This window comes from Homo sapiens, chromosome 3 (assembly GCF_000001405.40).
Source record: "Homo sapiens chromosome 3, GRCh38.p14 Primary Assembly".
Lineage (NCBI taxonomy): Eukaryota > Metazoa > Chordata > Mammalia > Primates > Hominidae > Homo > Homo sapiens.
Genome location: NC_000003.12, coordinates 143,827,398 through 143,840,340, shown reverse-complemented (window position 1 = coordinate 143,840,340; position 12,943 = coordinate 143,827,398). Strand labels below are relative to the sequence as shown.

The 12,943-nt window shown below is 39.1% G+C and overlaps 1 protein-coding gene across 4 annotated transcripts in view; it reads left to right on the top strand.

Annotated features, from left to right (window-relative positions):
- The window catches only part of SLC9A9 (solute carrier family 9 member A9), a 583,247-nt gene that overhangs the window by 8,128 nt on the left and 562,176 nt on the right, over positions 1-12,943 (top strand). For 3 of the 4 annotated variants that reach the window (NM_173653.4, XM_017006202.3, XM_011512704.4), the window contains exon 2: positions 8,120-8,322. The exons of the other annotated variant lie outside the window; for it this stretch is intronic. In NM_173653.4, the coding sequence (NP_775924.1) occupies positions 8,120-8,322 (203 nt within the window). The remainder of the gene's footprint in view (positions 1-8,119; positions 8,323-12,943) is intronic. 4 annotated transcript variants of the gene reach the window in all.

Here is a 12,943-nt window from a genome sequence, read left to right as displayed (position 1 = left end):
CTTCTGGGTTTTCCAAGTTCTGAAATCTGTGTGCATGAGCCCAAGATGGTATGGGTTTTGATGGAATTTCAAGACTGTGAGGACTTATGTTGGTAGGAACTACTATCTTATATGACAATGCTTCTCAGTGTGTTTCCTGACCAGCACCATCAGCAGCTTGTTAGAAATGCAAATATGTAGTTCACAGCCCAGACCTAGGGAATCAGAAACTCTGGGGTGGGTGCGGCCCGGTAAACTGTGTTTTAACAAACTTTCCAGGAGGTTCTGATGCACTGAAGTTTGAGAAATACTTTGCTAGGAAAATAAACTTGAAATATAGTGCCTAGTTTCATTTCCTCTGTTTTCTCTTATTTCTTTCTTATCCCATTACTCTCCTATGGTGAAAGGGGGAGGGTTGGAAGACCATCTCCCTTTACTAAAGAGTCCTTCTTTCACCGTCTATAACACTTTGTAATGTCTCCATCTCTGGTTCGAGAAAAAAATAAAGTGTGTTGTATAAACATTACAAAGTAAGAAACCATTTGTTTATTCAGTATACGTCTAGTTAGACATCTCTATTTCTATGTTTCTTCTGTCAACTTCCTAAGATGATTGCAAGGAAGGATGTTAGCTATATATAAGCTGATGGCTGAGATAGTTTCTAAAGAAAAGTTATCTATTATACTGTTAGAAATCCCAGAGTTTTGTGAAGTGTGTACATTGTGTATATGTGTATGTGTTGTGTTTGTATGTGCTTGCATGTGTGTTGTGTCTATGTATGTGCATGTATGTTTACATATGTGCTATATGTGTGTGCATGTGTGCGCTTGTGATGTGTGTGTGTGTGTGTGTGTGTGTGTATGTGTGTTGTTTGTTGGGAACCAAGGATGGATTGTGGACATTAGACACCCCACTCTGATGGAGGATCTGATGTTTGGGACTTTCTGGCAGTTTTCATATGACTCTATCCTGTGAGAAGAGGGAAACTTTGAACAAGGCATCACAAGGTTAATTAGCTTCATGGACTACTTTCCACTTTGGAATTTAATGAGGTTCTCTTAATTGGCAGGTGTCCCAGACCTGTTCTGAAATCATTCTGGGACTCTTCACCAAAACAAGTTGATGGTGAGCTAGTATGGAGCAATAAATTGTGACTTTTTAGCAAGACCTATAGTTTCCTTAGTTTTTTTAATTTAAAAGGTTGGTGGGAGAACAGAGAAAGAACAAACTCCCCCACCAAAAACAGAAGGCATTGTACGTTGTTACTACATCATGTTTTTACTTTTTGTTCCATCTCTGACTATTCTCAGAGCAAAACTAAATTGCTAAAAGGGAAAACGTTAGGAAATGCATTTAGATATTTGAAGTTCAAACCCATATTATCTCTCTAAATTCATGTTCTAAAAGAGACTTTTATAAAATGGGAAGGGATAAATATCAAATAAAAAGTTAAAAATTTTGTAGATGCAGTTAAAATCTGATCTTTGTGAATACTATCTTACAGTTAAATGTTATTCACTGATTTGGTTTCCTTAAATTATTATTCAGACTATTTCCTTCTTCTTTATGCTCACATTTGAATCCCTAGTTCATAATTTTTTAATCTGAGTGACTGAAATAATAATGTCACAGATTCCCTGCCTTAAAGTCTTGCATTGTACAAAGTTCTAATGATGGTAAAGAACATTCTTCCTTGAACGTTATTCCTTTCATCTTGGAATTCCTGAACTCAGATGTTCTAAATTGTCCCTTATGTAAATATAGACTAAATATGATGTTAACTTCCTCTCCATGTCCTCTCTGTCCCTCAATTCTCTTTTCTGTCTTCAAATAATTATCTCTAAATGCTGTTTCCTCTGCTCTAAAACAGAGCAAATCTGCCTCCCAACAAGGAACTCGCTCGATTCTTCCTCGAGACCACCTTGCCGACCACCTTGCCAACACCCTCTCCCTCCTGAACACTCTCCAGTCCTCTGCTGTGCCAAAGCCCTTTGCCTGCACTGCCCTAAGTGCCCATCGCAAACTGCTTGATGTGCGTCATTGACGCTGGGCTCCTTGATTTCTGTATACCTCTCCCTAAAACAACATGTCCTCTTCTCTACTTGGTGAACTCTTACACATCCTTGAGAACCTCTTCTATTAAGTTTTTCCAATACTGTAGGGAGTGGGGTTAGTTGGTCTTTTCTTTAGGGTCCCTTAAAACTTTGTACATTGCTTTGTGACAGGAAAACCAATGGCTTTTCTATCTGTTAAGATGCATTCAGTTGCAAGTAACAGAAACCCTGACAGAAACAGAATTAAGCAATAAAGACATTTATTATCTCCCATAACTGGAAGTCCAGAGAAGAGTAGTCTTCAACTCTATTTGATTCAGCACCTACTGTTGTCATCAAAAACCAAGGTTCTTTCCTTTTCTCTGTTCTGCTACCTTCAGTGCTGACTTCAACATCAGGCTGGCAGTGAAGTGGCTATGCCAGTGCCTGGTGTCCTAACCGGGCCCATTAATATGCTGGAAAAGAAGAGAGCTCATCTCTTCTGTGTCTCTCCTGTAGGATGTGAAAACCTTTCTAAGAAGCTCCCTAGCAAATTCCCTTCACTTCTTATTGACAGGAATAGGGTCACATACCCATTCCAAACCGGTTATCAGCAGGGAGAGTGAGAACATCCCCGGAGCTGGAGTGAGTTCAACTTCCCCTGAGCATATGGCTATGTGTGGAGGGGTGGACAGCAAATAAACCAGAGCTTTGTGGGGTAAACAAGGATAGACATTGGGCTGGCGATCAATAGGACCTGATACACTTACCAGTTTGAAATATGATATTATATAATATTACATGGTTTGAGGCTATATCTTCTTATTTTAGAGAATTGGCGATGCCTCATGAATCTAGATTATTCTTGGTAGCCACTCAATGCAGTGAGAGTGAAAGAACTGCAAAACTCAGTTCTCCTACAATCTTCATGTGGTAACTACATTTGCTTTAGACTCCTAAATTCTTCCAACATCATGTAGCACTTAAATATAGACCTTTGTAATAGTCTAATTAGGCATATGTATATAGCTGTGCTTGCTGCATTGTGCAACTCTGGGGAAGCTCTGCTCCTATAGGAATGGAGTCTAAAGCGATCTGGCCAGAGTTGTGCCAAGCAGCAGGGAACTCTGTGTGATGGTGTCTGGACACAATTATAGTGTTGAACACAGCCAAAGAGATTAAAATCTCCTTTAAAACACTTTTGTGTTTTAAAAAACATTCTGAAATCTGCTTTATTTAAGCTTTTTAAAAAAGTAAGTCCCTATTTTTTATTTCTCTAAGAAAAGCCACTTTAAGAAAATGCTTCAGCCTCATGTGGAATGACCATCAGTAAGATGCAAGGGAAATTGGTTATGAAATGCAGACTTCATATAAAAAATTTAGTAAATACTTGTTATACCTTATTCTTACTGGAAATTAAGATGGCAGGATTTGGCAGAAGGGAAGGGGCTGGTAGGTTAAGATATTTTAATATTTTAAGGGCAAAATCATATTTTATTTATCTTTATAATAACTCCTACAAGTCCTAGAGCAATGCCTTAGGTGTCTGTGGCATGAACACATAATAAGGGAGTAATAGAGTAAGGGACTGGAGTTTTCTCTTATTTTCAATGTGGATAATAAAATGAGAATCAGTTCAGGAAGGTAAGGCTCATCTTTCTAATGTTCCTTGGTTTGAGTACTCCTGAGGCTGTTTCCTCCTTCCTTCTGTCCCCTCTCTTCTTTCTTCTCTCACAAACATCATGCTATCAACTGTATGCCATGCATGTGCTATATAAGAGTTATGTTGAACACTCTGCAAGGACAGGGACTTCACAGCATTTGGTGTGATGTTCCTTATTTGTGACACTTTAAAATGTTGGTAACTGACTGACTACATAAACTCGGAGGACCTTTTCTTCTTGACTCCAGGGAGCTTGTGGACTTGGAGAAAGTTGGGCTACAATTCTGCCCAAAGTGATTGGCTTTTCTAGAGGAAAAGAGATAAAGAATAGCACAGAGCCTCTGCCCTAAACAGTCTCATTGTCTGGTTGAGGAGAAAAGCCAAGATCTGTAAAGAAGCACTGAATAATATGTCTTTATAAAACTGGTTTCTAAAGTGTGTGGTTCAAACAATAAATGCTATCAGAATGCAAAGATGAAGGAGTTCAATGAGCACAGACTTTATCAGGGTTCTGGTGCCCACGGGTGGGACTTAAGAGGGACATTTTAGGATAGTGAGTGCTTTAGGAATGAAGTCCATTGTCCATGCTTTCTGTGGTACTTGTAGGCTGTGGAGAGAAGTCAGGGTTCATTAAAGTGCAGGTACACTCTGCTGTCATCCTAGGTACCCAGACGCCCAGACTTGAAGAAGCAGGGGATACATCTAGACTAGAGTTCCTTCCTAGAGAAGGAGATGCTGCCAACTGGCCAGGGGACAGATCTCAGAGAAGTGTTGTGTATGCAGGAACCTCAACCTGGGGCCAGGGCTGTTTGCACATGGACTGGGTGGGTATCCCTTTGCAGGGGCAGGCTCTCTTCTTTCCTCCTCCAGCAAGAAGGGGCCTGGTTTCATGGTTTACCAACAAGAGTGGTGCTTTTGTGCTGTTCATAAGCCGTGGCAGCCAGTCTCCTCTTTCCTTCTTCTGTGAACAAGTGATTTCTGCTTTCTTAATCTTGTATCTTTGAATGGTATAAAAACAACCTACTCTCATTAACATTTTCTTTCTACTAGCCATCCTACTTTATCTGTCACCTACTCATATATGATATTGTGTCAGTGTACATTAATTCAACACTCCATATTTCTGTCAGCATATGGCTAAAACACTGAGTCGATGTTTCACTATAAAAAGCATTATGAGGCTCTATGGGTAAGTAGCCTCTGACAAATAAGGATTTTCCAGCTGCCGCTGCTGCAGCAAGAGTGCACAAATGAGTGCATGGGTTTTTTAACCAGATGTGTTAGGAGGCTGAGATTTTTCACACTGGCTCTTACCATCTAGCAAGATGTTGTTTCTTCTCAACCCTTGGGGTTTGGGGAAAAGGAGGGCTGAAGCCTTTTGGTGAGTGTGTTAATTTGGGTCCTCCAAGAAGCAGATGCTAGAAAGAGATTCATTGCACAAAAGATTTTCATTCCTTTAGAGAATGTGGGGAGTGAGCATGAGGATGCCAGGACAGCTGTCAGGTTTTGATGCAGGCCTGATCCTGTGAAGAGAGAGAAGGAAGGAAAGCTGGGTAGGAAATCTTTAGGCTGTGGTGCAATTCTAGGAAAAGTTTGGCAAGATTAATGATGGGTCCCTGAGCCATGGTTGCCCTTCAGAGGAGTCCCCATCTGCTTGCCTTAGTATCCCTGCTGTGTTCAGTCATCGGCTGGGAGCCTGACCTCAGTGTGAAAGTGGTGATGGATTCCAGAGCAGAGAAGCTGAGACCACTGGTCAATTGCCTCCTCAGAGTGGGAGGTACATTTTCATCTATCTGAGAGGTACATTTTCATGGATATTACATCTGGTCACCTCTGCCACAATGGCAGCAAGCAGCTTCCTCTGTTCACTTCAATGTGCTTCTTCTCGAACAATGAGGCCAGAGCTAGTGCAGAGGGATAGTCAGGGCCATTTAGGTTTGGAGGTCTTGTATGAATTTAACCACACTAGGCACCAGGCCATCACTATTATGACAAAGACTTGCTTTCTCTGCTTGGGAACTAATAGTGGACACTTCATGTTTATTTCTTGTTGTTTCATTGAAAGCATTTTGTAAAAAAAAAAAAAAAAAAAAAGAGTGCCTCGCCCACTAGGAATTACAAATGACATTAATATGGATTCTTTCCATTTAGGCCCCATGCAGATAGTATCTTGTGCTTCCCGTCTTTGTAGAAGTAGAAAGAATAGTAATGGTGTCATTCATGGTACTTGCTGAATAACTTTTAGGAATTAAATCCTTTCTAAGCAACGTGTGTTGAAAAAATGATGTTCTTATGCAAGCACCCTAAGCCACGTAGAGTGTAGATGATCTATGTTCCCTTCTTGCTCCTGACTAGTTTTATTGTCGTCATTCAACACTGAGCATGGAAGGTTGCCTACTGTGCTGTGGTGGATCAAGCACTCAGTGAGGGTTACGTATCTATAACTTATTTTCTCTTGCTCCCAGAGATTTGGATACAATTTTTCTAATTACTCTGGAGGAGTCAGCCAAACACTGAAGCAGGAATAATAAAATAAAAATATTCTTGAAAGAAATCTGCTTGCATTCTCATCCTCACTCTGATTAGTTCTCAACATTGTTGCCAAAGTGATGGTTCTCACATGAAAGCATGATTGGTTTACTCCCCTGCCTAAAATCTTTCAATAGTTCTACATTACCATTGGGTTAAAAATCAAAACCTCTCAGCATGAGAGAGGAGCCTCTTTCTGACCTGGCTCTGCCTATGGTCTAGGTCTAGAGTCTCTCTCTGTCTCTCTTTCTCTCTATTTATTCTCTTTTTACACCACTAGTGACTCCCTAAATGCACCAGATTTCTTATGTCTTTCTGTATATATGCATTGTGTTAGTAAGGTTATCACTAGTGATTTCTTACACAGTATCCCAACATTCTTCCACTGGTAAGAACCAGCCAGATGCAAGACAATCAGGAAGCATAGCACCTGGCTGAGCAGCCACTTGCCAATAGCAACTCTACACACAGGGAGAGCGTAGATCCTGGTCTACATACAGGGAGAGCATAGATCCTGGTCTACACACAGGGAGAGCATCCCAGCTGTCTCTGCTCTTACGTGCTGCTACCCATATGTGCAAACTGGATCCCAACTCATTCTGATTCAGCTCTTCTGGACAAATCTATGTGACCTTTTAAGATTTATTTCAAGCTTTGCATAATTCAAAGGGCTTCGGAATACCCCCTGTCTATACTCATGTATCACAGAGTGCTTCCCAGCGGTCATAGCACATGTCATGTTTTATTATAATTGTTTGTTCATGAATCTTCACTTATACAAACGAGCTCCTGTAAGACTGGGCCTGTATTCTAATTTTATACCTATAAATGTCTGGTACACAATATGCACCCCAAAAATGTTTTACTAAAGAAATAAAAGGTTATTAGATGACCAGATTCATAAGAGAGGTAAAATCTCCAAAATTAGAAGTTTTAAAGAGTGAACTCTGGATCATTTATCCCAAAACACATACATCAGTCCTAATTTTAAATTGACAGAGTTTAGGCTTCTGATGTTTCTCTGTTGCTTGTTAATAAATCTACATTTAAAAAGCCCACAGTTATCAGATTGCCATGAGCATCTTCACAGAGTTTAAAAACGTAAAAATTCAAGGATTGTCACTTAGGTTGAATTGTTTATGAAAAGGAATGTGGTGTCATTAGAATGCATTTGGCTACAAGTAACCAGAAACTAGATTCAAAACGGAAAAATTAGAGAATGTATTATATTACACAGCAAGAAGTTTAGAGTTAGGGTAGCTCTAGGGCAGGCTGGTTGATCTAGTGGCTCTGTGATGTCCTTCAACACCTAGGTTCTGTCTTCTGCTACTATCTTAGTCCTACCCTCCTCAGTATATTGGCTGCATTCTTGGACTGGATCTACTTATGGTCACAGATAACCTGCCAGCAAAAAAAAAAAAAAGAACTATATTGCCTTAGTCATGTCCTGAGAGAGAGAACAAGAACACCTCTCACCCCAACCATGGGGTGTGACATAATAAAGTCTGATGGGGATAACTGAGATTTGTGCTAATCTGTGGACCAGAAACACTCCCAGGGGAATTCCATCTCCTGATTAGATGACTCAGTGTCTATCACAGAGCAAAGGTTTTCTTAAAGTATTTGGATGGATAGAAGGAGTTAGGTATCTTTTCTCTCCAAAATTAGTAGGTCCACTAGGGAGAAAAAAAATGGGAAGATTTGCTGAGTATTGAAGCAATGGTGCTCACTACAAATATTTTAACACTATATTATGTTGAACTGGTATCCATGCAAAAGTGAACACTTTTCTAGACCAGGCAATAACCCAACACTTTATCCTGTCACTTCTGAAGGTTCCAAATCATATAGGTTTCCAATAGTGGCATTTTAGATTGCCTTCCTCCAGTACCATTATTTATTCTTTTTTTTTTAGGCCTTATAATGGGACTAATTTTACGATATGCTACAGCACCAACTGATATTGAAAGTGGAACTGTCTATGACTGTGTAAAACTAACTTTCAGTCCATCAACTCTGCTGGTTAATATCACTGACCAAGTTTATGAATATAAATACAAAAGAGAAATAAGTCAGCACAACATCAATCCTCATCAAGGAAATGCTATACTTGAAAAGGTAAGGATCCTGTCTGGTATTATATATTTGTTTTACAGTATAAATAATTGTATCATATTTGAGCCTTTATACTTTTTATATAATGCATTCACACACACATATATGCCTATTTTAACACCACTCTTTTGGAGACGTTAATTGACTAAGGAGTCAAACCCTGAGTTATACCCTTATTACAAGCTGAGTTGCCTGTATTTTTTTTTCCTAGAAGTTAGGAAAGAAAGGTTTTCTTTTTTGTTTTTCTGCAAGCCACAGTTATATTTGGTTAAAAGAAAAAAACATTTATCAACTCTGCCTTTCCTGATACTTGATTCAAGTTTTCACACATGTGCTTTCAGCACCGTTGTATATAATGCCAGCTGAAAGTGCAGTTCAAATCTTTCTTAAGCCAAAGGGAAAATGGAGTAGAATAAAAACATTTTCACTTGCAAACCTGGAAACCTAGGATGACTGGCTTTTGGCTACCAACACAAAACACTGGCCACTTGGCTATGTATAAATACACTGACATGCAGTCAGTGTCAAGAAATCGTGACTATCAGTTTGGTTAAGGAATTTAGGTAGAAAAAAATTGTGAAATGAGTCATCTTTTAAAAATAGTTTCATAATTGCAGATTTGTGAACGGCTTCAGTTACTGGAAGGAAAACTTTCTTCTGCTTTCAGGAATCTGGGTCAGAAATCAGGTTAGGTTATCTTTTGTGGTGCCTTGTAAACCCTGGATCAGTCTTTGGAATAAATGAATTCCTGTTTAACAAGTGTGTACTAAGAACCAGGATCTCACATCACTTATTTGAGATTTTTTTTCAGGTCAGAGCTGAGAATTTTCTGACACTGTGGAAGTCCATTGTTTCACTTTTATCCCATATGTACTTAGTTTTTATGTTAAAACACACCTTTTTTTTTCCATTTTAAGAGGTTTGGAACAGAAGGGGAGGTACTTGGTCTGCCATTTTTCCTCAGTCAAGATGACTAATTTATAATAATTGTTTTCATATTATCTTCCACTAGCACATTTTTAGATTAACTTCCTCCTAGCACTTGGTAAGGGCTCAGGAAAGTCAAACTAATTATAATATTAGCCTAAATCAGACTTGGGAAAGTAAACTGAAGCACAAAAAAAGCAAATTAGATAATGTATTTCTGAAATAAAGAGGAGCAACTTCTAGATCTGCCACTGCTTTTGGATTATCTGTTTTGGATTATCTCTTCCATGTGTTTCTTTTTGTTTATATGATAATAATAAATTATCTCTTTTAAAATAAATATTTTTTAAACTTGTTAGCAACATAGGATTTAAATTAAAATACATTCTTGAGTTTTACCTTTGGTTAGTACCTGGACATGAATTATTTCTCTCTTCACTCTCCTACACATTTTTATCTGCATTTCTATACAGCACTATTTCTTCAAACAGGTTGACACCTCTCCTCCCACCAAATGCTGATAATTATCCTTGTTGCTGTAGCAATTATATTCTTGAACAGGATTGCCAATAAATGCCTGACCAGAAATTTTGTTATTGAATTATTCACATATTTATTCCTTCATCAGCATCCAGAGCCAAATGTTTGCTTTTGAAAAATTAGGGCAAGAGATGGAGAAAACGTCTAAGTTGCTGGAGCCCTCTTGGTGTTTTCAGTGAGTGGATTATGAGCTCTGCAAGTTCGGTACATAAAATGTTTACTTGACCTTGAGTGGCTCAAGTAGTTTCTAGATGAACTTGTCAATCATGGCATCTGGAGATGGGAACAGGTGACTCAGCAACCTGACTAAGTCCTCCTCTCATTGCTGGTATAGAAAGGGGCATCTACTAGCATACTTACTGTATTACATGGCTTTAAGGGGAAAAGATTTTGTTTATAAATACCTGGAGTATGTCACTATACATATTTGTTGCTTATGTGGCAATCCTGGGGGACACTAGTTAATCTGCAAAACTGAACAACCTGTAGCCTGTCTTCCTTACTGAGAATTCTCCTTTGGGAGGCTTATAAGGAGGTAACATTGAGTAATGTTTAAACAAAGTTAGGATTAGATAGATCTTCCATCCCCCTTCTTTGAGTTTCTTAAGCTTCCTAATCCCTAACTTTCTTATTTGTGAAGTGAGGAGCTTAAAACCTATTCTGCAGGATTGTTTTAATGTTCAAATGAGATGATGTGTATAAAGTGCCTGGCTAACATGGGGCCTTCACATTGTACCATTGTTACTACCACCACTACTACTACTAGTACTATTGCCACTGCACTACCACTGCCAATGTCATTGCCACTTCCACTACTTCCAAAAATAACGCTACCATTGCTACTATTAGATAATGTTTGAATGCTTAATATATGCCAGGAATTAATAAAATGTGTATTTCTTTTATTAATTTATTTAACACTCATTTGGGGAGATAAGACCAACGTATAATGGATACTTGTATATAATTCAGTCCTAAATTGTATCATATGAATTATGAGGACTGTGAAACTTTACAGACTAGTTGTCATAGGTACTTGAGCTGGTTACATAAGCTTCTTGGGGAGATGGCACTTGAGAAGGGCTTTGGGTAGGCAGTAGGGATTGAACTCAGAATGGCCATCAGGGCAGGGTGGACTGGAAGGTGAGACTGCAGTAAGTGAGTATCCAGGTAAGAATTGAAGAGGGCTTCATGAAAAACCTGGATGCTTTGGATCAACAGAGCCTGCCTGATTTGTAGGAACAGTGTGAAGAGAAGAGTCTAAGTTTCCAGGATTTTAAGCCCGGATAAAAGAATATGAAGTTTGTAGGGTAAAAGTTTGGGGAGGAAAGAAGACTTGAGGAAGGGGTGGGTGCAAATGCCCTGGATCTGCATATACGTATCACCTAATTTAGAGCAAGAAAGAGACCCGACCTCATTAAATTGAACCTCATCATTTCATAGATGGGCAAAACAAGAAATTAAGCACTAAAATCAATTTAAGTCAGTGGTTCCCAAACTCTCTGCACTTTGGAATCATTGGGAAGCTTCAAAACATACTGATGACTGTGTGACTGTGTTCTGCCTCTGGGTTTGTGATTTGACTGATTTAGGGAGTATCAAGGGTTTTGGAATTTTTAGAAGATCACCAAGGTGACGCTAATGGGCAAATGAGTTAGGGATTTTAGTCCTACTTCGAGTTCAGGTGAAATGGTGAGGAGAGAGATGCTGCGTTTGTTCTTCTTTACTTCACATCCACTGCTGCAGATCTACCAGCCCCTTATTTTGTTCACTCAACACAACAAGAACTTTTTTCTTCAGGACCTCTGTACCTGTCATTCCTTTCACCTAAAATGGCCTCACGTCTACCCTTTGAATATCAGCCTCCTTCACATTACTAGAGTTTTGGCTTGAAGTACCATCTTTTCAGAGAGGGCTTACCCATTTTCTCACACTGTATCCTCCCTCCCTTCTCTTCTCTCTCTCTCTCTCTGTGTGTGTGTGTGTGTGTTGGGGTAGGTATGTGCTTGTTTCTTTCTCTCTTATTTCATAGTACTTGACATCATCTGAAATTATACATGTATTTGCTTGCTTTTTGTTTATTAGCATTCTTACATTGCTTATTGTCCATTAGACTGTAAACTTCACAAAGGCAGGGACCATACCTTTTTTACTGACCAATGTATCCCCAAAGCCTATCCTGGTGCCCCATGCCTAATAGCTGCTAAACAATGAATGAATGAATAAATAATTGATGAGTCTGAGATCTTGGCAGAGCACATATGGCTAGAGAAACATACAGTATTTAGAAATTATCATTCTTGGAGTTGGTAGAATTGTAGTGTCCTGGATGCTTAATGTTTGTAGACACCTGAGACATTCTTTAATCTTAGCTGTGCATATATGGATAATACATTAATGTCCAGAGAAAATACATGGTGAGTTCAGGGTCCCACTACTGGTTAGAGAAGAGATAGAACTTGGACTATAGCACTTAATTCTGAGACCTGAGTAAATTATTATACCCCACACTACTGGACAGGCTCTCTGAGAGGCCACATGGACAGAGAAGGGCAGGGCACCTGGGGCTAAGACCTAGAGCGTTTCACAGTTAGACAGGCAGAAGGAGATGACCAGTGCTAGAAAGAGTGCAGGGAGGTCAGAGTTGAGGAAGAAGTCCGGCTCAGCAGAGTCACAGAAGCCATTAGTGTGGCCCCACTGGGTCCTTTTCCTTTGTGATATATTTTAAAGGGAGTATTTTGCCTTTGTTTCTAAAAGTTACATGATTTGAAAATGGGTTTTACTCTTAGAAAAATATAGTTTAGTGTCTTGGATGAAATTTCTGACTTCAGGATTTGGAGAGGCTGGAATGAATTCTTGTGCTATGTAATGGCCTCTTAGAAGATTTTATAAGAGCACGTGTATTTCTGGGATGGTTAGGCATTGACGTGCTTAGAGACAGAACTGGTTTGATGGCTCTGTGAGTTCCTTCCAATAAGAAGGTATAAAACTGGAAAATATGAGAGCTGTTGGCATTTATATAAACAGCAATGTACTGTGATTTTATGCCATGTTTAAACATATAAAAATTTCAGGAAACACCATATGCCAAACTTGTTTTGTTCATGCTCAACACAGATAAAAGTGTAGAAAAGAAAAAAAATATTTTCACTTAAAG